The sequence below is a fragment of the Homo sapiens genome, chromosome 6 (assembly GCF_000001405.40).
Source record: "Homo sapiens chromosome 6, GRCh38.p14 Primary Assembly".
Taxonomy (NCBI): domain Eukaryota; kingdom Metazoa; phylum Chordata; class Mammalia; order Primates; family Hominidae; genus Homo; species Homo sapiens.
Window position 1 is genome coordinate 64,998,323 of NC_000006.12, and position 23,722 is coordinate 65,022,044.

Sequence of the window (23,722 nt, forward strand, 5' to 3'; positions counted from 1 at the left end):
GAGCAGGCACCAATTTATAACTACTTGCAGTCAGTCCCTGAGTCCTTCATTATCCCTGAGATTTACCATGAAATCTATACTCCCATTATGCCTCTCTGCATGTACTTGCTATTACTCTCATTAAATGCTTAGGTCTTCAGTGGCAACAGCATTTTTAATGCACTGTAATAAATGTATCTAGCTTCTGGATTTTTGCAGCCATGTTTTGTACAACATGTGTAACTAGGGCCTCTAAGGAGAACAGGGCAGTCATAGACATCAACAAGAGACAAGTGAAATACACAAGAATAGGCAGCTCCTTAGACAGGATTTTACTTCTGTTTTACTTTCCTTTTGTATCTAGCACCTAGTTTTTAACCTCTCATTGACTACAAATTGTTAATAAATAAACAGATGTAATTGTAAATGAATTAATGTGATAAAATGTCAGTCTGTGCTTCTATGTTACACATGGTATTTTTTATTTTAACATATTAAAACCACATATTATACAATATATAATTAAGACATTGTGGAGTGTCATCAATCATAACAATATTTAAAATTATCCTTATGGTTATTATTTAAGTTGGGATACTGATGCATACTGACAAGTAACAACTGGAGTCAAATTAACTTTCAGCATTGATGTTACGTGTTCTATGAAGACAAATTATAAATTACATTAAACGCAAAGGACAACAAAAGGTCACTTTGAACAAACGAAGTGTCTGGAAACAGATTGTTAAAAAAATAAAGCATGCTTTTATTGTCAATAAATGTGTTTCTAACATAGATTAATACAGACAAGGAATGTGTTTCTAACACTTTATTCTGGAATAAAAATTAATAAATGGACTAAGTGCCAGAAGAGAACCTAGAGAACTAAATTGGATACCAAAGGGAAATCGGATACTGCAAAGAAGATAGAAAAAAATTAAATATTTAAAACAAAGTAACAAAAAGTAGAGGGTTTTTCTCATATGTAATTTGTTAACCACGGGGCTATGTGATAACCAATAACCATTTCACAGGAAAGACATGTTATACACATAGTCTTGCTCTTGATTGTTGTTGTTGTTTTTAACAGAAAATCTAGTCACTGTGATATGGAAGTGCTGGAATGGGAAGAGTGTGGTCCCTTTAAATGATACAGAAGGGGGAAGGGAAGTGCTGGGTAGAGGAGGGCGTGGTCCCTGGCTAGGGCTCCACCCCCATGGATCTACGTGAGGACGGCACTCCTGCCTTTATGCCAGAATGTTGCATTTCCCAAGACCACCCTGTCCCACCCTGCCCACATCGTGTGCCTATAAAAACCCCGGAGACCCTAGCAGGCAGACACACATGTGGCTGGATGTAGTGAGAAACACATCAGGGGAAGAAGACACAGTGGCACCTGGACATTGAGAGGCACACATCAGCAGAGGAACACACAGGTGGCTGCACATCAGGAGGAACGCACTGACAAGCGCCGGCACGCTGGAGCTCCAGAACAACATGGAGTTTTGCCAGGGCAGTCAGAGGGGAGCCCAGGACGCCGAGCACCCCAACTCCAAGGGAAAACCACCTCCCTTCTGGCTTGCATTGTCTGAGAGCTACTTCCACCCAGTAAAACCTTGCACTCATTCTCCAAGTCCAGGTGTGATCTGATTCTTCTGGTACACCAAGGCAAGAACCCAGGATACAGAAAGCCCTCTGTCCTTGTGACAAAGTAGAGGGTCTAATTGAGCTGGTTAACACAAGCCGCCTATAGATGGCAAAACTAAAAGAGCAAAACTAAATGAGCACCCTGTAACACACGCCCACTGGGGCTTCAGGAGCTGTAGACATTCACCCCTATGCACTGCGGTGGAGTCAGAGCTCCACATCCTGCCTGTCTATACGTTCCGCTAGAGGAATGGGGCACTGAAGAAGCGAGCCACTCCCCCTGTCACACACCCTGCAAGGGGGAAAAAGGACCTTTCCCATTTCAACTGCATTGGTATTAGTCTGTGTTTATAAATATTTCATACTACTATTTTGAGGCCAAATTTTCTTAAAATAGGCCTTCTATGAATCTGGATGTATTATTCATTTTATGCTTAAATGTGTACCAGACATCATATATACTGGTTGTACTGAATGAAAGTTTGTAATGTGACAAAACTTTTTGGTGGAATATACAGAGGTATTTTAAAACTGTAACAGCAGGCCAGGCAGGTGGCTCACACTTGTAATCCCAGCACTTCGGGAGGCCGAGGCAGGTGGATCATTGGAGGTCAGGAGTTCAAGACCAGCCTGATCAACATGGTGAAACCCCATCGCTACTAAAAATATAAAAAAAAAAATTAGCCGGGCTTGGTGGCACATGCCTGTAGTCCCAGCTACTTGGGAAGCTGAGGCAGGACAATTGCTTGAACCTGGGAGACAGAGGTCACAGTGAGCCTAGATCGTGCCACTGCACTCCACACTGGAAGACAGAGCAAGACTCCATTAAAAAACAAACAAACCTGTAACAACAAAATGGTGAACAACCGTATAATGGTGTTCAAGATTTACAGACTCACACACAAACACACACATATATGCAGTGATTTCTCATATATTGTCCTGTAATAAATACTATTGACATGCTAGAGTTCCCTGATCCCTCTCGCAGGACATGCGACAGGGGTGTGGCTGGCCTGCTCAGTTGCCGCAGCTGCTGAAACCCCTTGAGGGAGGGGGACCACGCAGATAGGCAGGTGCAGAGGCCAGGGCGAGTGCTTTGGGCTCTGGACCTGTGGTAGTGTCTAGGGGTGGATGCCTGCAACCCCAGTGTTACAATGCTCTCAGCCTTGCTGTCCGCAGATGGCTTTAAGGGTTAACCAGCTGAATGGACCCTCTGCCTTTTCACAAGGGCAGAAGGCCAGTATGATAGCTATCTGTATCCTGAGCTCTTGCCTAGCGTCCCGGAAGATTCGGGTCACACATGGGCTTGAAGGTTGAATGAGAGATCTTGAGTGGTGGAGGTGGCTCTCAGCAGGATGGATGGGGAAGTGAAAGCAGGGGATGGAGTGGGAAGATAATCTTCCCCTGGAGTTGGGCCGCACAGTGGCCAAACTCCTCTCTGACCACTCCCAAACTCCTCTTGGTATTCAGATGTTCCTCCTCTTCTCTCTTTCTCTGCGGAAGAGTCCGTTGGTCTGCCTGTCTTACCTCTTCAACTTCCGGTTCACTCTGGAGTCTGAGGTTCAGCATTTATCTGGGTACGGGCTAGGGAGCATGGCAAGCCAAAAGGCAACTTTTTGGGTGGAAAAACAGGAATGCCTGTTCTCATTTATGGCTACGGGTATCCAGGCTTGAGGATGCGGCCTTTGCCAGGGCATCTTGTACCTTCTTCTACCCAGTATTTCCGTGTCTTCTGTCTGTATTACTATTAACTAGAATTCAGGAAGTTTAGCTTCCCAAACCATTTTATTTCAGAGAAAGTATGAAGAATCTAGTGTCTTAGTTTCATTCTGATAACATTCTACATGTGTGATATAAATTTTAATAAATATTTTGGTTGCCTGGTAGCTAAATATCCTTAGATGGGGTCCAAAATATATTATGAATGATTATATTATGAAATACATTAATATATTAAGTATTCAAATTTTACATTTCCCATAATATATTATGGTTTCAAAATTTTAATAGGTAGTATTGCATTATAAGTAACATTATAAATTGCATTTTCATATCTTAGAAAAAATCATATATTAAAATATTTATGAAGAACTTTTAAAAGTCAAATATAATACATTGTTAATCAATGTGAACAATTTAAATTTAAATTGTCTATTATAATCATTATAGTAGGGCTGCCTACATATTTCAAAAACAAAAAATCTCTAACTTCTCTCTCAGCCATGCGATATTTTAAAATGACATGAATCTTTTTTAAGTATCATTCCTCACCAGACACCTGTGGGTTTGAGCTCAGAAATGATACAATACTGACTTACTTCAAGGTAATTTGAGAATTTCAGAAATTTTAAAATACAATCTTGGAAGTGCCAAAATCTGGAACAAAAATAATAACTTGGTGATTTATATCAAGAGCAGCAAAAATATGGCATATAGTCCACAGAACTGTTTTGCTCAGCTGGCACAATGTTAGAAAATTAACGTGATATTAGTATCTATACAGATATTTCAGTTTGCTAGGGCCCCACCACTACCTTTTATATCTGGGTTCTTTTATATCTGGGTGGCTTCACCCAATTTACAAAATTCAATTGCCTTGATATTGGCTTTTATTTGCACAGCACTTGTTTTGAGAAACAAATTTAAAATTTGAGTTAAATCCTACTGTTTCTAAATAAAAAGACAATAACATAACTTTCTATTGAAATGAGGTTTTATATGTAATTTTAACTATTTATTCATATATTGAGGTGTTGTGGGAAGTCAGGGACCCCAAACAGAGGGACCGGCTGAAGCCATGGCAGAAGAACGTAGATTGTGAAGATTTCATGGACATTTATTAGTTCCCCAAATTAATACTTTTATAATTTCTTATGCCTGTCTTTACTGCAATCTCTAAACATAAATTGTAAAGATTTCATGGACAATTATCACTTCCCCAATCAATATCCTAGTGATTTCCTATGCCTGTCTTTACTTCAATCTCTTAATCCTGTCAGCTGAGGAGGATGTATATCGCCTCAGGACCCTGTAATAATTGCATTAACTGCACAAATTGTACAGCATGTGTGTTTGAGCAATATGAAATCTGGGCACCTTGAAAAAAGAACAGGATAACAGCAATGTTTAGGAAACAAGAGAGATAACCTTGAACTCTGACCGCCGGTGAGCTGGGCAGAACAGAGCCATATTTCTCTTCTTTCAAAAGCAAATGGGAGAAATATAGCTGAATTCTTTTTCTCAGCAAGGAACATCCCTGAGAAAGAGAATGTGCACCTGGGGGTGGGTCTCTGAACTGGCCCCCCTGGGCGTGGCCATCTCTTATGGTTGAGACTGCAGGCGTGAAATAGACCCCAGTCTCCCACAGCACTCCCAGGCTTATTAGAAAGAGGAAATTCCTGCCTAATAAATTTTGGTCAGACCGGTTGCTCTCAAAACCCTGTCTCCTGATAAGATGTTATCAACGAAATGGTGCCCGAAACTTCATTAGCAATTTTAATTTCACCTCAGTCCTGTGGTCCTGTGATCTTGCCCTGCCTCCACTTGCCTTGTGATATTCTATTACCTTGTAAAGTACTTGATGTCTGTGACCCACACCTATTCGCACACTCCCTCCCCTTTTGAAACTCCCTAATAAAAACTTGCTGGGTTTTGTGTCTTGTGGGGCATCACAGAACCTACCAACATGGGATGTCTCCCCCGGATGCCCAGCTTTAAAATTTCTCTCTTTTGTACTCTGTCCCTTTATTTCTCAAGCCGGCCGGCACTTAAGGAAAATAGAAAAGAACCTACGTGAATATCAGGGCAGGTTACCTGATACTGAGGGATCATGTAGAAATATATTTTAAAGGAGGTGAGATAAAACCAAATAAGATAGTTTTTTGCAACACCCTTCTAGACCTTTGTTTATTTCTGTTTCTCCTTTTTATGCCTCAGCCACATTCTGTATATAATGTCATTTCGTTTTCTGTGTCTCAACAAAATTACCCATTTTAGGCATGTTCTTCCACAGAAAAATCCATGTTTCCATCTTACTTTTCCCTCTTTCCTTCTTTTCTTCCTGTCTTTTTCCTCTATAAATTTATATTTTTTTAGGAATATAAATTTCAGTAGGAAGAAGTGTGAGTGTGTGGGGTGATATATGTATAAAATAGGCTAAACTAATGTTATTTTGAATACTGTAAACAATGCTTTCTCATGCCTAAGGGTGAATATTTTTAAAAATTCTACCATTTCAAATAAAATTGCAAAGGTTAATTCTGACACTAGAAAGGAAAAGTCACATTTCATTAGATTTCCTCATTCGCTGCACTTGTGACTCACAAAAATATAAATGAATTTGTCAGAAATTGGGGGTACTTAGTGAAGATAACTGACATTGACTTTGATGTTCAAGCCAGGCTAAAGTCAGTAAATAATCATGGTTATATCCTAAACTCTCCCATTACTATGTTACATTCTACAATGGTCTGCTCTACAATAATTGCAGCCGCTGAAGGAACTCACTGTCATAGCAATATCCATGCAGGCAAGGGCTGGAACTGCACTCATTGACATTGATCTCACAGCGTGGACCTGAAAAGCTGGCACACTGGCACCGGAACTCAAGGGGAAACATTTCCAAATCCATTTTCTCTCCACGCACAGCTCCATTCTCACAAGAATCACTAGCTTTGCAAGGTCCAAATTCACAGTGATAACTTGGAAAAGAAAGAATCAAAGTGCCAATGCTTATTGAATGAACCAATTCTTACAACTGCTGTCATTCACCTGGCATATTTCAGCATAAAGGCATCCAATTTATTCTCTATTCTCTTCCATATTATCATTGTGACTCTCTCTCTCTCTCCCTTTCCCTCTACATTACAATTTAAGAAAGAAATGTTATTTATGATTTCTATGCTTCATCTAACAAAGTACCAGCAGGTAGCAATGATAAGTGACAGCATTTTTAAAAATTATATTTTGTTTCTTCATACTTCCCACTTCTTGTTCAACAATGTTCTCTGAAGACATTGCAATTAAGAAAGTAGATTATTGGGCAACCCCCTTTGGGTCCCCTCCCTTTGCATGGGAGCTCTGTTTTCACTCTGTTAAATCTTGCAACTGCACTCTTCTGGTCTATGTTTGTTATGGCTTGAGCTGAGCTTTCGCTTGCCGTCCACCACTGCTGTTTGCCACTGTTGCAGACCAGCTGCTGACTTCCATCCCTTGAGATCTGGCAGGATGTCCGCTGTGCTCCTGATCCAGCGAGGCGCCCATTGCCACTCCCGATCGGGCTAAAGGCTTGCCATTGTTCCTGCACGGCTAAGTGCCTGCGTTCATCCTAATCGAGCTGAACGCTAGTCACTGGGTTCCACGGTTCTCTTCCATGACCCACGGCTTCTAATAGAGCTATAACACTTACCGCATGGCCCAAGATTCCATTCCTCGGAATCCGTGAGGCCAAGAGCCCCAGGTCAGAGAACACAAGGCTTGCCACCATCTTGGAAGCGGGTCACCGCCATCTTGGGACCTCTGTGAGCAAGGACCACCCGGTAACATTTTGGCGACCACGAAGGGACCTCCAAAGTGGTAATGTTGGACCACTTTCGCTTGCTATTCTGTCCTATCCTTCCTTAGAACTGGAGGAAAATACCGGGCACCTGTCCGCCAGTTAAAAACGATTAGCATGGCCGCTGGACTTAAGACTTAGGTGTGAGGCTATCTGGGGAAGGGCTTTCTAACAACCCCCGACCCTTCTATTGGGGATGTTGATCTGCCTGGAGCCAGCTTCCACTTTCAATTTTCTTGGAGAAGCTGAGGACCGACTAGAGGTAGAAAGCAGCTGTCCCGAACTCCCGGCAGTAGCCGGTTAAGATCATGGCACAGCCAGAAGTCTCTACCCAGCAGTCGCCCATGCGTGCACCCCTACCTTTCCTTCTGACCCACACCTCCTGGGTCCCGACCACGACTTTTTTGAAAGTGTAGCCCCAAAATTCTCCTTACCTCTGAATCTACTTCCTCTGATCCCTGCCTCCTAGGTACTAATGGTTCAGACTTTCATTTCTTCTAGCAAGTTGTATCTCCAAAGGGATCTAAGGAGGCTCTACACTGTGTCCTTAGGCACCTAGGCTATAACCCAGGGAGTCTTATCCCTGTTATCCCTCCTGATTTAGGTATACAGCTGTCTACATGGGCAGTTACGTGGGACCCGTTCCCCACCACCTGTGCCAGGGCCCCAAGTTTGTAATGGCTAAGAGAGAGAGACGGAGAGAGAGACAAAAAGGGAGTCAAAGAGAAAAAGAAAGAAAAAGATATTAATAGTTAAAAAAAAAAAGTGTTCCCTATTCATTTAAAAGCCAGGGTAAATTTAAAACCTGTAATTGATAATTGCCACTTTGTTGTCAGTGTAAATAAGGGCTTAGCAAATCCTTAACCCAGTAACCCACAGATGGGCCAAATGCATTCAGTCAGTCGGTAGGGACAACTGCTTCACTAAAAGTAGAAAAGTAACTTTTAGAGGAAACCTCGTTGTGAGCACACCTCACCAGTTCAGAGTTATTCTAAGTCAAAAAAAAAAAAAAAAAAAAGCAAAAAGGTAGCTTTCTAACTCAAAAATATTAAAGTATGGGGCTATTATGTTAGAAAAAGCTAATGTAACTCCAACCACTGATAATTCCCTTAACCCAGCAGATTTCCTAATGGGGGATTTAAATCTTAATTACCATACAAAGGTCCGACCAGAGCTAGGAGGAACTCCCTTCAGGACAGGATGATAGATGGTTCCTCCCAGGTGATTGAGGAAAAAACCACAATGGGTATTCAGTAATTGATAAGGAGACTTTTGTGGAAGCAGAGTTAGAAAAATTGCCTAATAATTGGTCTCCTCAAAGGTGCAAACTGTTTGCACTCAGCCAAGCCTTAAAGTACTTACAGAATCAAAAGACTATCTCAATCCAGACTCAAAAGTTTTGCTACACCCTCTCTGAAATGAATTTGCATAAGAACTGTTGTTTACAAGAATGCATCTTGATGGGGCAGCTGGGTTGTTGTGAAATACTCAGAAACCCAGCCCAGCTCTAGGACTCACCCTGAGTGCAAAGGCAATGTTAGGCATGCTGGTAAAGGACCACTAGAATCCAGCATCCTGGATCCCTTTTTTTGTGGTCAAGAGAGGCGGGTAAAACAGATGCAGGACTGCTACATAGGTGAGTGTAACTAATCAGATAAGCAGAGGTCCATGGGTGGTTACGCACCTAGAAAGGAATAAGCATTAGGACCATAGAGGATGCTCTAGGACTAATGCTCATCGGAAAATGACTAGGGGTGCTGGCATCCCTATGTCCTTTTATCAGATGGGAAACATTTCCCCCAAGGCAAAAATGCCCCTAAGATGTATTCTGGAGAATTAAGACCAATTTGACCCTCAGACGCTAAGAAAGAAATGACTTATATTCTTCTGCAGTACCGCCTGGCCACTATACCCTCTTCAAGGGGGGAGAAACCTGGCCTCCTGAGGGAAGTATAAATTATAACACCATCTTACAGCTAGACCTGTTTTGTAGGAAAAAGGCAAATGGAGTGAAGTGCCATATGTACAAACTTTCTTTTCATTAAGAGACAACTGGCAATTATGTAAAAAGTGTGATTTATGCCCTACAGGAAGCCCTCAGTCTACCTCCCTACCCCAGTGTCCCCCTAACTCTTTCCCCAATGAATAAGGACCCCCCTTCAACCCAAACGGTCCAAAAGGAGATAAATAAACAATTAACCAAAGAGTGCCAATGTTCCCCAATTATGCCCCCTCCAAGCGGTGGGAGGAGGAGAATTCGGCCCAGCCAGCGTGCATGTACTTTTTTCTTTCTCAGACTTAAAGCAAATTAAAATAGACCTAGGTAAATTCTCAGATAACCCTGATGGCTATATTGATGTTTTACAAGAGTTAGGGCAATCCTTTGATCTGACATGGAGAGATATAATGTTACTGCTAAATCAGACACTAACCCCAAATGAGAGAAGTGCCACCATAACTGCAGCCCGAGAGTTTGGTGATCTCTGGTATATCAGTCAGGTCAATGATAGGATGACAACAGAGGAAAAAGAATGATTCCCCACAGGCCAGCAGGCAGTTCCCAGTATAGGCCCTCACTGGGACACAGACTCAGAACATGGAGATTGGTGCCACAAACATTTGCTAACTTGCGTGCTAGAAGGACTAAGGAAAACTAGGAAGACTATGAATTATTCAATGATGTCCACTATAACACGGGGAAAGGAAGAAAATCCTACCGCCTTTCTGGAGAGACTAAGGGAGGCGTTGAGGAAGCATACCTCTCTCACCTGATTCTATTGAAGGCCAACTAATCTTAAAGGATAAATTTATCACTCAATCAGCTGCAGACATTAGAAAAAAAAACTTCAAAAGTCTGCCATAGGCCCGGAGCAAAACTTAGAAACCCTATTGAACGTGGCAACCTTGGTTTTTTATAAAAGAGATCAGGAGGAGCAGGTGGAACAGGACAAATGGGATAAAAAAAAAGGCTACCGCTTTAGTCATGGCCCTCAGGCAAGCGGACTTCGGAGGCTCTGGAAAAGGGAAAAGCTGGGAAAATTGAATGCCTAATAGGCCTTGCTTCCAGTGCAGTCTACAAAGACACTTTAAAAAAGATTGTCCAAGTAGAAGTAAGCTGCCCCCTTGTCCATACCCCTTATGTCAAGGGAATCACTGGAAGGCCCACTGCCCCAAGGGACGAAGGTCCTCTGAGTCAGAAGCCACTAACCAGATGATCCACCAGCAGGACTGAGGGTGCCTGGGGCAAGCGCCAGCCCATGCCATCACCCTCACAGAGCCCCAGGTATGCTTGACCATTGAGGGCCAGGAGGTTAACTGTCTCCTGGACACCGGTGCGGCCTTCTCAGTCTTACTCTCCTGTCTTGGACAACTGTCCTCCAGATCTGTCACTATCCGAGGGGGTCCTAGGACAGCCAGTCACTAGATACTTCTCCCAGCCACTAAGCTGTGATGGGGCGCTTTACTCTTTTCACATGCTTTTCTAATTATGCCTGAAAGCCCCAATCCCTTGTTAGGGAGAGACATTCTAGCAAAAGCAGGGGCCATTATACACGTGAACATAGGAGAAGGAACACCCGTTGGTTGTCCCCTGCTTGAGGAAGGAATTAATCCTAAAGTCTAGGCAACAGAAGGACAATATAGACGAGCAAAGAATGCCCATCCTGTTCAAGTAAAACTAAGGGATCCCACCTCCTTTCCCTACCAAAGGCAGTACCCCCTTAGACCTGAGGCCCAACAAGAACTCCAAAAAATTAAGGACCTAAAAGCCCAAGGCCTAGTAAAACCATGCAATAGCCCCTGCAGTATTCCAATTTTAGGAGTAAAGAAACCCCATGGATAATAGAGATTAGTGTAACATCTCAGGGCTATCAATGATGCCATTGTCCCTCTATACCCAGCTGTACCTAGCCCTTATACTCTGCTTTCCCAAATACCGGAGGAAGCAGAGTGGTTTACAGTCCTGGACCTTAAGGATGTCTTTTTCTGCATCCCTGTACATCCTGACTATCAATTCTTGGTTGCCTTTGAAGAGCCTTCAAACCCAACGTCTCAACTCACCTGGACTGTTTTACCCCAAGGGTTCAGAGATAGCCCCCATCTATTAGGCATTAGCCCAAGACTTGAGTCAATTCTCATACCTGGACACTCTTGTCCTTTGGTACATGGATGATTTACTTTTAGCTGCCCTTTCAGAAACCTTGTGCCATCAAGCCACCCAAGAGCTCTTACATTTCCTCGCTACCTGTGGCTACAAGGTTTCCAAACAAAAGGCTCAGCTCTGCTCACAGCAGTTTAAATACTTAGGGCTAAAATCATCCAAAGGCACCAGGGCCCTCAGTCAGGAATGTATCCTGCCTATACTGGCTTATCCTCATCCCAAAACCCTAAAGCAACTAAGAGGTTCCTTGGCATAACAGGTTTCTGCCGAATATGGATTCCTAGGTATGGCAAAATAGCCAGACCATTATATACACTAATTAAGGAAACTCAGAAATCCAATACCCATTTAGTAAGATGGACACCTGAATCAGAAGTGGCTTTCCAGGCCCTAAAGAAGGCCCTAACCCAAGCCCCAGTGTTAAGCTTGTCAATGGGGCAAGACTTGACTTTATATGTCACAGAAAAGAACAGGAATAGCTCTAGGAGTCCTTACACAGGTCCGAGGGACAAGCTTGCAACCTGTGGCATACCTGAGTAAGGAAACTGATGTAGTGGCAAGGGTTGGCCTCATGGTTTACAGGTAGTGGCAGCAGTAGCAGGCTTAGTATCTGAAGCAGTTAAAATAATACAGGGATCTTACTGTGTGGACATCCATGATGTGAATGGCATACTAACTGCTAAAGGAGACTTGTGGCTGTCAGACAACCATTTACTTAAATATCAGGCTCTATTACTTGAAGGGCCAGTGCTGCGACTGCGCACTTGTGCAACTCTTAACCCAGCCACATTTCTTCCAGACAATGAAGAAAAGATAGAACATAACTGTCAACAAGTAATTGCTCAAACATACGCCACTTGAGGGGACATTTTAGAGGTTCCCTTGACTGATCCCGACCTTAACTTGTGTACTGATGGAAGTTCCTTTGTAGAAAAAGGACTTTGAAAAGCGAGGTATGCAGTGGTCAGTGATAATGGAATACTTGAAAGTAATCCCTTCACTGCAGGAACTAGTGCTCAGCTGGCAGAACTAATAGCCCTCACTCAGGCACTAAAATTAGGAGAAGGAAAAAGGGTAAATATATACACAGAATCTAAGTATGCTTACCTAGTCCTCCATGCCCATGCAGCAATATGGAGAGAAAGGGAATTCCTAACTTCCGAGGGAACACCTATCAAACATCAGGAAGCCATTAGGAGATTATTATTGGCTGTATAGAAACCTAAAGAGGTGGCTGTCTTACACTGCTGGGGTCATCAGAAAGGAAAGGAAAGGAAAATAGAAGAGAACCGCCAAGCGGATATTGAAGCCAAAAGAGCCACAAGGCAGGACCCTCCATTAGAAATGCTTATAGAAGGATCCCTAGTATGGGGTAATCCCCTCCGGGAAACCAAGCCCCAATACTCAGCAGGAGAAGTAGAATGGGGAACCTCACAAGGACATAGTTTTCTCCCCTCAGGATGGCTAGCCACTGAAGAAGGAGAAATACTGTTGCCTGCAGCTAACCAATGGAAATTACTTAAAACCCTTCACCAAACCTTTCACTTAGGCATAGATAGCACCGATCAGATGGCCAAATTATTATTTACTGGACCGGGCCTTTTCAAAACTATCAAGCAGATAGTCAGGGCCTGTGAGGTGTGCCAAAGAAATAATCCCCTGCATTGCAGGCCATACATTTCAATCCCTGTATCTTTAACCTCCTTGTTAAGTTTGTCTCTTCCAGAATAGAAGCTCTAAAACTACAAATCGTTCTTCAAATGGAGCCCCAAATGCAGTCCATGACTAAGGTCTACCGCAGACCCCTGGACTGACCAGCTAGCCCATGCTCTGAAGTTAATGACATTGAAGACACCCCTCCCGAGGAAATCTCAACTGCACAACCCCTACTATGCCCCAGTTCAGCAGGAAGCAGTTAGGGCAGTCATCGGACAATCTCCCCAACAGCTCTTGGGATTTCCTGTTGAGAGGGGGAACTGAGAGACAGAACTAGCTGGATTTCCTAGGCCGACTAAGAATCCCTAAGCCTAGCTGGGAAGGTGACCGCTTCCACCTTTAAACAAGAGGCTTGCAACTTAATTCACACACGACCAATCAGATAGTAAGGAGAGCTCACTAAAATGCTAATTAGGCAACAACAGGAGGTAAAGAAATAGCCAATCATCTGTTGCCCGAGAGCACAGCGGGAGGGACAATGATCGGGATATAAACCCAGGCATTCGAGCTGGCAATGGCAACCCCCTTTGGGTCGCCTCCCTTTGTATGGGAGCTCTGTTTTCACTCTATTAAATCTTGCAACAGCAAAAAAAAGAAAGTAGATTATTAACAATTTGATGCTCCCTATATTTTCTTTCTGGTACCCTGGAGGTTGCTATCACTGTAAGCTCTGTTTGAAGGATTTGTTGCTATTCTCAAAACAAGTAAATGATGGAAAAAGAACATTGTAATAAACATCTAATCTTAATAGAAATACTTCAATCCTGAAAAATTTTTTATATTTTACTCAGAAAATGTAATTATATAAAGTGGTTGCCATTGTGTGAAATGTACACAAGTATTTAAGAAATAGGATTATTTGATTCAAGAGAAACCATATCAGACAAAAAGCACAGTATAAGCAGCACAAACTTTTTCAACAAAGCAACATTATTATTTGAGTGTCAGTTTTCAAGGCATAGTAAAAATATTTACATGTTACCTATTTGGAAAGTACTTAAAAATAAGGCTACTTATTCACTAAAATGTACAGTACATAGGTACAAACATAGGTTCTAAAAACGCCTGGCTGAATACTTTAAAGCAGAAAATATACAGTCATCATTAAGTCCTTGAACTGCTTGGGTTTTCTCAGTAATTTCACAACTACAGGGATAAAGGTATAACACAAAGACTTAGGATAAGGGATAAAGGTTTCAAAGTTGAGAAGTACTATAGTTGTTTGAGAAATTACAAAAGCCAAGTGTCCCTGTGATTCTCCCAGTTCTGACCACAAGAAAAATAGTAAGGGGGACTGCCTAGAAGCTGCTGAGGATATCAGCAATCTGTAGAGTAAAGGCAGCAAATTGATATCATTAGTGTCCATAAAATAAGAGCAATAAAACTGTACCAAAATGGAGATGCTCAGGACTTCACTTTCCAAGTACAGCAAAAAAAAAAAAAAAATGAAAAAAAACTACTTCACAAGAACATAAAAATAAAAATTTCCTTCAATAAAAAAAAATCTATCAAGTGGCTACTTTTTGCAATAGCAATGCTTAGTAGTATAGAGAATTCAAATAGAAACAAGATCTTTTTCTGAAACTATTATGAGATTGAAATGTATTATAAGTAATACATTTCTGGATACTATTTTATCATAATCAAAGTTTTTGTGAAATAATGGAAATTGCATTGAACAAACATCTACTCATGCAGAAAAAATGAATTGTCTTTAATGAAAAGTTCCCATGCATACCCTTTCTTTCTAATTACCTACTGCTAAATATTTAATTGTGACACTAGGTGTTTTGTTTTGCTAGTGGGAAGTTAATTTAGCTGTTGCTTTGTAAATAATTTTGTATATTATAATCTATTACATAGCTGAACAACAATGTATATGAGAAAATACTCATGATATTTTCTTTTGCAGAACACACATGAATTCACTGTACCCCCATATCATGTTGATTTGTACATGAATTCATTATACTAATATGTAATGAGCCCTTGTCCTGTGGCAAGCACTGTGCTAGACGCGGGAGGTGGGGGGCAGGTGTTTAAAAGAACAATGATGGGTTCAAATAGGCAAGTAAATCGGTGCAATAAGTGGTAAACATGATCAATTTCCTTGCTAAAGAGTCATTATGTAAGTAGAATTCCAATATGGTTTCCAAGATCCCCACCACTAGTGTACATACCCCATGTAATTCCCTCACTTTAAATGTGGGTGAGGCTGGGTGCAGTGGCTCACAACTGTATTCCCAGGACTTTGGGAGGCCAAGGTGGGAGGATTGTTTGAGGCCAGAAGTTTGAGACTAGTTTCAGCAACATAGTGAGACCCCTAGAGGTGGTGAAGAGATGGTGATAGGCACACCTATAGTCCCAGCTACTACTTGGGAGGCTAAGATGGAAGGATCACTTGAGCTTGGGAGGTCAAGTCTGCAGCAAGCTGTGATTGAGCCACTGCATTTCAGCCTGGGAAACAGTGAGACTCTCTCTCTTAAGTAAATAAATCAATGTGGGTAAGATATGTGAATATGATTGAATGTCACTCCGTAATTGTTTACTTTATATGGAAGAAAAGATTGTGGATATAATTAAGTCCCAGAATCATAAGGGAGTCCATCAAAAGACACATTATCTTGAGTGGGTCTGACTAAATCAGGTAAGACTTTAAAAGAAGTCAGAGGCATTATCCTACTTGCCTCAAAGAAGCAAATGAAAGCTGTGTTTTATAAAGCTCTATGAGATAGGGAATGGCATCTGGTTTGCAGCAGCCAAGAACACTCTAGACAGCCAGTAAGAAAGAAAGACCAGAGTTCTAAAATCACAAGGAAGTAAATTTTACCAACAGCCAGTGAGCTTGGAAGAGAAACGTGAGCCTTAGATTAGCTCACAGTCCTGGCCAACCTTTTGATTTCAGTCTTGTGAGACCATGAGTAGAGAACTCAGTTAAACCATTCACAGATTTTTGACTTGCAGAAATTGTAAAATAAAAAATGTGACTTGTATTAAATCTATAAGCTTGTGATAAGTTGTTATTCAGCACAGAAAAGTAATACAGTCAAATATAAGGGCCACTAAGACATCTTCAGTGCTATTGGAAAGCCTACTGAACAGGTGATATTTGGAGTGAGCCCTAAGGAATCATCACACATTATCGAGGTTAGGCATGTGGGATACAGAAGGGGATGGGGAGAGTTTTCTAGAAGGATGAGGGCCAGAAGATGAGAAAGTTCAGGAGATTGAAAACAAATCAATATGAATGGAACACAAAATACAGGGAAGAAGGAGATGCATTACCACATTTAAGGAATTATAATATGCCATCGATTTTAAGGGAGTTTATTTTATGTGCCATTAAGGGTAGCATGGTAGAAAAAATGATGCCCTCCCACTCCCTTCACTACCTCCCTGTTGAAGATATCCAGCTCCTAATTCTGGAAACCTGCGAGTGCTATCTTATGTGGCCAATAAGAATTTGCAGATTTGATTAAGTTGAGGATTTTGTTGTGGTAAGCTTATCCTATTTTATCTGGGTAGGCCCTAACTATAATCATAAGGGTCTTCCAAGGGCCTTTATAAGAGAGAGGCAAGAAGTTTAAAGGAGGAAGGTGACATGAAGATGAAAGCTGGAGTTTGGATTGATGCAAGGAAGGGGTCATGAGCCCAGGAACAAAGGCAGCCTCTAGAATCTAGTAAAGGCAAGAAAATAGAAGTCTTCAGAAGCAACACAACCCTGCAATACCTACCTCATTTTAGACTTTGGCCTCCAAATATATAAAATAATAAACTTGTGCAGTTTTAAGTTTGTGAAAATTAGTTACAGCCATTATAGGAAACTAATAAAGAGAGCAAAAACTGCCAGTTAAATTCTGATAAAGTATTTAAGACATCACTATTGTGAAAAACTCATCCCAATTTCAAAGATGCTTGTGTTAATATGTAATGTGTTAGTTATCACGCTAATTTGTGATGAAAATTGGGATGTGTTAAATGAAGTTCACTAATTTGAAATAACATCTCCATAGGCTGGGACAAGATCCTACAAGTCTTTGTGATCTATAGAACATAAACCTGGTGTGCATTGAGGAACTGTTGAAAGCTTTCCTAAAAATGGAATAAAGTATGGTTGGTCTCCTTACAGAGAATCACATTGTATTGTATTTCTTAGTTGTATCTAAAAATATATATAATGCTGCTTTATTTCTTTGAAGTTTTATTTTGCTGAAAACTATATTCTCTTAAATTAATGTTAAGAAGCTAAGGCACATTTTATCTGCATACATATTTGGTAGGAAAAATTAAAAACCTGTTTTTTATTAGTTTTTTACAATGATGTCATCAATTCAGAAAATAAAAAATGCTGAGGTTCCCACTGAAATTGTACCACCGGGTGCAGTGGCTCACATCTGTAATCCCAGCACTTTGGGAGGCGGAGGTCGATGGATCATGAGGTCAAGAGACTGAGACCATCCTGGCCAACATGGTGAAACCTCGTCTCTACTAAAAAAAAAAAAAAAAAAAAAAAAATTAGCTGGGCATGGTAGCGCACCCATGTAGTCCCAGCTACTCAGGAGGCTGAGGCAGGAGAATTTCTTGAACCCAGGAGGCAGATGTTGCAGGGAGCTGAGATTGTGCCACTGCAATCCAGGCTGGCAGCAGAGCGAGACTCCACATCAAAAAAAGAAAGAAAAGAAAAGAAAAAGAAAAAAAAAAAAACAGGCGCCATGGCTCACACCTGTAATCCCAGCACTTTGGGAGGCCGAGGTGGACAAATCACCCGAGGTTAGGAGCTCAAGACCCGCTTGGATAACATGGTGAAACCTCGTTTCTACTAAAAAAAAAAAGTATATATATATTTTTCCTCTAATTGAAATTTGCATCAAACTAGTACGTTACTTTCAAATGTATGGATGACTTTTGATATCAAGTTCATTATGATAAACTTCATATGTTCATATGTTAAACTTCTTAAAGAACATTGCAGTTTTAAGAGCTGTAAGTGGATATAGATGTTTACAAAAATGTGAAAATGCTAAGCATGTCTTCATATGAGTCTAGTAGCTTGAATTTTAGTTTCTCATGATTTAGATAAACTTAAAATCTGCTGTTTAAAATGTTTAAAGTGATAACAAAAATTCAGATATTTAGAGAAACATAGTTAAAAAGTGAGTAAATAATAGGGTGGAGATAATCTTTCTGTGCAAGAGGCATCATGTAGGATATGTAAATTACAGAAGTCTTTAGTGAAATCCACTATAAAGTTAAATAAAGTAGAATCAAGTCATCCAACTTCAATAATCAGCAATAAAAACATGAAAAGATTAGACTGGACAGTATAAATTCTGTTTCTGCAGTAATATCAAAGGACATATAGCAGGAAAACAGTTCTTTATGGAGCATACCTCAACATATTAAAGATAAGTCCTAATTCTCTTTATATTTTCATAAAACTCATTATTCATATACTAAAGTTCTATGAAAAGACAGTCCTTTTTACTAAACAGAAGATCTAGCTAACACTGTATATCCTTAAGGGACATTAAGTGGTAATGGACATTGTATATCTTTAAGGGACATTAAGTGGTAGATATTTTGTGCATTGTAAAAGACCAGAGATGGTTGCTGCTATCTATCATCTAGAAATTTTATGTAAACCAAGGAAGTCTGAGTGATGAATTTTATGGGGAGACATCATTTTTTCCCTCTCCCTATCCCATTCCCTCCCAGCTTCCTAGACTCTATTTACATTGGACAAATTTCTTCTCAAATCTAACAATGATTAGTGAGACAGAAAGCAATGGAAATAACTCCACTTTCCACATAACCTTTAGAAATAATATGCTAATGGCAAATCTTATAGATGCATTTTACAAATATTGTCATAAATTGGAATATATTATTAATGTACTTATTTTACTCTGAGAAAGCAAATTCGCTTTCCAGGTTGAATGCAAACATATGAAGTCAGTTATTTTCATTTTAAATTTATGACTTACACTTTTAAATAATTTTTTATTGTTTTAAAAAGCATACCTTCAAGTATTAATAAATAAAACATTAATATCCATGTTCATGTATGTTCTTTCTTGACCTCATTAAATAGCAAATGAATTGATTTTTATCACTTCTTCATGTTAGTAAAATATTTTGTGAGTAATTAAAGTGAGAGTCAATAAAGCAGCCCCGCCAGTATCAGCTAAGCTGGACTGGCTGCATAATCGGACCCTGGTGCTTTTCTTTTGAGCGTAAACAATTTTATGGATCACCAAAATCAGACAAGGTCTGTGCTCATGAAGGAACAAAATAAAAATAATATCACTCCACACTCATATCTGAGCACAGACAAAAACAATAAAGCTGTCTAAACCACAAAATGGCTAACATTCATCTTTCCTATCTCTTCTATAGTTCTTTACAAATTAAAGCTTTAGCTTTATTTGTAATAGGTAATGTTATTACCTTTTAGATAACAATTTTCGTAATACTCCCCTTTGTAACCTCATAGAGTAGAGGCCAAACTTCCTGGAACCACCTCCAGAGTCACTAAACCCAAGCTTGAATCTCAAGCCTCTGTTGAAACCCTCTTAACAAAGTGCTCCCAAATTCTTCATGGTATGGAGCCAATAAACTCAAGTTTGTCTAATGACAGGTGAATTTATGGTGGTCTTTAAGTGGAGAATGCCAATAAAGATACTTCTACTTTTGACTAGAAATGAGAGTACTTGTGTCTATTTTTCTGTGATCGATAAAAAAACACACTGCATTCTCACAGATGTGTAATATATGTATGTATTGGTATGCTAGGGCAACCATATCAAAGCACCACAAACTGGGTGGCTTAAACAACAGACAGTTAGTGTTTGACCATTCTGGAGTCTAGAAGTCCATGATCAAGGTCTTGGCAGGGTTGGTTCCTTCTGAGGGCTGTAAGAGAGAATGTGTTCCATGTCTCTCCTCTAGCTTCCTGTGTTTTTCTGACAATCTTTGGCATCCCGTAGTTGTAGATGCATCACCCTGATCTCTACCTTTATCTTCACATGAAGGTCTCTCTCAATATTTGTCTGTGTCTAAGTTTTCCCTTTTGTTAAGGACACCAGTTATATTGGATTAAGGGCCCACCTACTCCAGTATATCCTCATTTTAATTTAACAAATTACATCTGAACTGATCCTATTTCCAAATAAGGTAATATTATTACAATAAAGTGCTAAGTAATTAGGACAACAATATAATTTTGGGAGGACACAACTCAATCAAATACAATGTGTTTTGATGTGAAGGAAGCATAAGAGGTTTTTCTGTATGTTGGTTTTTGTTTTTTGGTTTGTTTGTTTGTTTAGAAGTTTTTTTTTAAAAGACCATGTTCTTCTAATTGTTCTCTACTAAAACTTTCTCATATTTCCTCTAAGGTTACCTTTAGTGAAGCCTATATGCATACCCTGTGTGCATATGTTTGCTTGTTGTTTAGTAGTTCTGAATTGTATTGTTGTTGTTGTTTAAATATAGCTAGATTGTGCTTTTTGCAATCTTAGCTTAAATAATATTTTAAAAATCATAGGTACAAAAAAATTGACCTTACTGTATGACATCATTTTGGATTCTAGAAATAAAAATAAAGCTTATAAGATTATCTCAATGAACACAAAATGGGGACCAGAATAAGTGGCATAAATGTAGAACGAGAAAGACTGGGTGCCATATTTTGTATCAATCCGATGATTTCACCACTTGGATTTTATTTTTGGGTACCATATGGTTTAGATTAAGATAAACCCATTGATAATAATTTCAGTCTAATAGGAAAATTATTTCTTTATATTAAAATTTTTGTGAATCTAGGTACCACCATAGAAGCACAGACTAAACATTCTTATTCTTTTTACATTTTTTCTCACGTTTCTAAAAATATTTAATTGAACATTATATCTCTTAAACCACTCTCACTGCCACTTCCAAAATCCTTGTCCTGTTATTTTTCTGTCATATCTATTTTATAAAAATTCAGCCATTCACACAAGACAATGTGTGGCTAACAATGTGGACACAACATTCCAAAGAGCTTGGATCCAAACCCTTGCTTGATCCTTAAGTAGACACGTGATCTTAGGCATATGACATTTCCATGCCTCTGATTTCTGATACCTAACATAGAGATAATAACATCACACAACTCATAGGTTTGTAGTACAAAATAAATGACATAAGGTATGTTAAGCATTTCAAAAAGTACCTGCCAAGCACCATATTAATTTAAGACATTAATATCATTATCTCTGTCCATTTGCCTAGCTTGCTGATTATTTCTGGTAAGACAACAGGAATTATCTCAAAATCAAAATTTCTAACTCCAGGTAGGCACCCAACTCTTAGTAATTGTATTAGTCCATTCTCATGAGGCCAATAAAGACATCCCTGAGACTGGGTAATTTGTAAAGGAAAGAGGATTAATTGATTCACAGTTCAACGTGGCTGGGGAGGCCTCAGGAAACAATTGTGGCAGAAGGGGAAACAAACATGTCCCTCTTCACATGGCGGCAGCAAGAAGTGCCGAGCAAAATGGGGAAAAGCCCTTTATAAAATCATCAGATCTTATGAGAACTCAGTCACTATCATGAGAACGGCAAGAGAGTAACCCACCCCCATGATTCAATTACCTCACACCAGGACCCTCTCACAACACATGGGGATTATGGGAACTACAATTCAAGATGAGATTTGGGTGGGGAGACAGCCAAACCATGTCATTCTACCCTGGCCCCTCCCAAATCTCATGTCCTCACAATTTAAAACACAATCATGCCCTTACGATAGTACCCCAACATCTTAACTCATTCCAGCATTAACTCAAAAGTCCAATCCAAAGTCTCATCTGAGACAAGGCAAGTCCCTTCTACCTATGAGCCTGTAAAATCAAAAGCAAGTTAGTTACTTCCTAGATACAATGTGAGTATAGGCATTGGGTAAATGGACCCATTTCAAAAGGGAGAAATTAACCAAAACATAGAGGCCACAGGCCCCATGGAAGTCTGAAATCCAATAGGGCAGTCATTAAATCTTAAAGTTCCAAAATGGTCTCCTTTGCTCCATGTCTCACATCCAGATCACATCCCATGGCTTTGGGCAGCTCTGTCCCTGTGGTTTTGCAGGGTACGGCTCTCGATCCTAGCTGCTTTCACAGGCTGGCATTGGGTGTCTGCTACTTTTCCAGGGGCACGGTGCAAGCTGTCAGTGGATTTACCATTCTTGGGTCTGGAGGACTGTGGCTCTCTTCTCACAGCTCTACTAGGCAGTGCTCCAGTGGGGATTCTGTGTGGGGGCTCCAACCCCACATTTCCCTACTGCACTGCCCTAGCAGATGTTCTCTGTGAGGGCTCCACCCATGAAGCCCACCTCTGCCTGGACATCCAGATGTTTCCATACATCCTCTGAAATCTAGGTGGCGGTTTCCAAACCTCAATTCTTGTCTTCTGAGTGCCTGCAGGACCAACACCACATGGAAGCTGCCAAGGCTTGGGACTTGCACCCTCTGAAGCCACAGCCTGAACTGTACATTTCCCTTTTTTAGCTATGGCTGGAGCAGCTGGGATGCAGGGCACCAAGTCCCAAGGCTGCACACAGCAGTGGGGCCCGGGACCCAGTCCAGCAAACCATTTTTCCCTTTTAGATCTCCAAGCCTGTGATGGGAGGGGCTGCCATGAAGGCCTCTGACATGTCCTAGAGACACTTTCCCCATTGTCTTGGTGATTAACATTCTGCTCCTCATTACTTTTGCAAATTTCTGCTGCTGGTTTGAATTTCTCCCCAGAAAATTGGCTTTTATTTTCCAGTGCATCATCAGGCTGCTGCAAATTTTCCAAACTTTTATGCTCCGCTTCCTTTTGGATGCTTTGCTGCTTAGAAATTGCTTCTGCTAAATATCCTAAATCATCTCTCTCAAGTTCAAAGTTCCACAGATCTCAAGGACAGGGGCAAAATACCATCAGTCTCTTTGCTAAAGCATAACAAGTGTCACCTTTGCTCTAGTTCCCAACAAGTTCCTCATCTCCATATGAGACCACCTCAGCCTCAACTTTATTGTCCATATCACTATCAGCATTTTGGTCAAAGCCAATCAACAAGGCTCTCAGAAGTTCCAAACTTTCCCACATCTTCCTGTCTCCTGATTCCTTCATGTCTCTAAGAAGTTCCAAATGTTCCCACATTTTTCTGTCTTTTTCTGAGCCATCAAAACTCTTCCAGCCTCTGCCTGTTACCTAGTTTCAAGCTCAATTCCACATTTTCGGGTATCTTTAGAGCAGCACCTCATTACCCAGTAGCAGTTTACTGTACTAGTACATTCTCATCATGCTAATAAAGACATAATTGAGACTGGGGTAATTTCAAAGGGAAAGAGGTTTAAGTGACTCACTGTTCAGCATGGCTGTGGGAGCCTCAGGAAAGTTACAGTCATGGCAAAAGGAGAAGCAAACACATCCTTCTTTACATAGTGGCAGTAAGGAGAACTGCTGAGCAAAAGAGGGGAAAGCCCTTTATAAAATCATCACACCTTGTGAGAACTCACTCACTCACTATTACAAGAACAGCAGCATGGGGTAATAATCCCCATGATTCAATTACCTCCCACTGGGTCCCTCCCACAACATGTGGGAATTATGAGGACTACAATTCAAGATGAG

General features: G+C 40.6%; 1 protein-coding gene across 2 annotated transcripts in view, besides 1 other annotated feature; it reads right to left on the reverse strand.

The window, feature by feature from the left end:
- The window catches only part of EYS (eyes shut homolog), a 1,987,247-nt gene that overhangs the window by 1,278,343 nt on the left and 685,182 nt on the right, over nt 1–23,722 (reverse strand). The gene's annotated exons all lie outside the window — the stretch shown is intronic.
- Nucleotides 8,219–8,798: an enhancer, noted in NCBI's record as "NANOG hESC enhancer chr6:65716434-65717013 (GRCh37/hg19 assembly coordinates)". NCBI's record gives its function as "activates a minimal SCP1, AML or CMV promoter by ChIP-STARR-seq in naive H9 embryonic stem cells {active_cell/tissue: H9 hESC(naive)}" and the evidence as "EXISTENCE:reporter gene assay evidence [ECO:0000049][PMID:30033119]".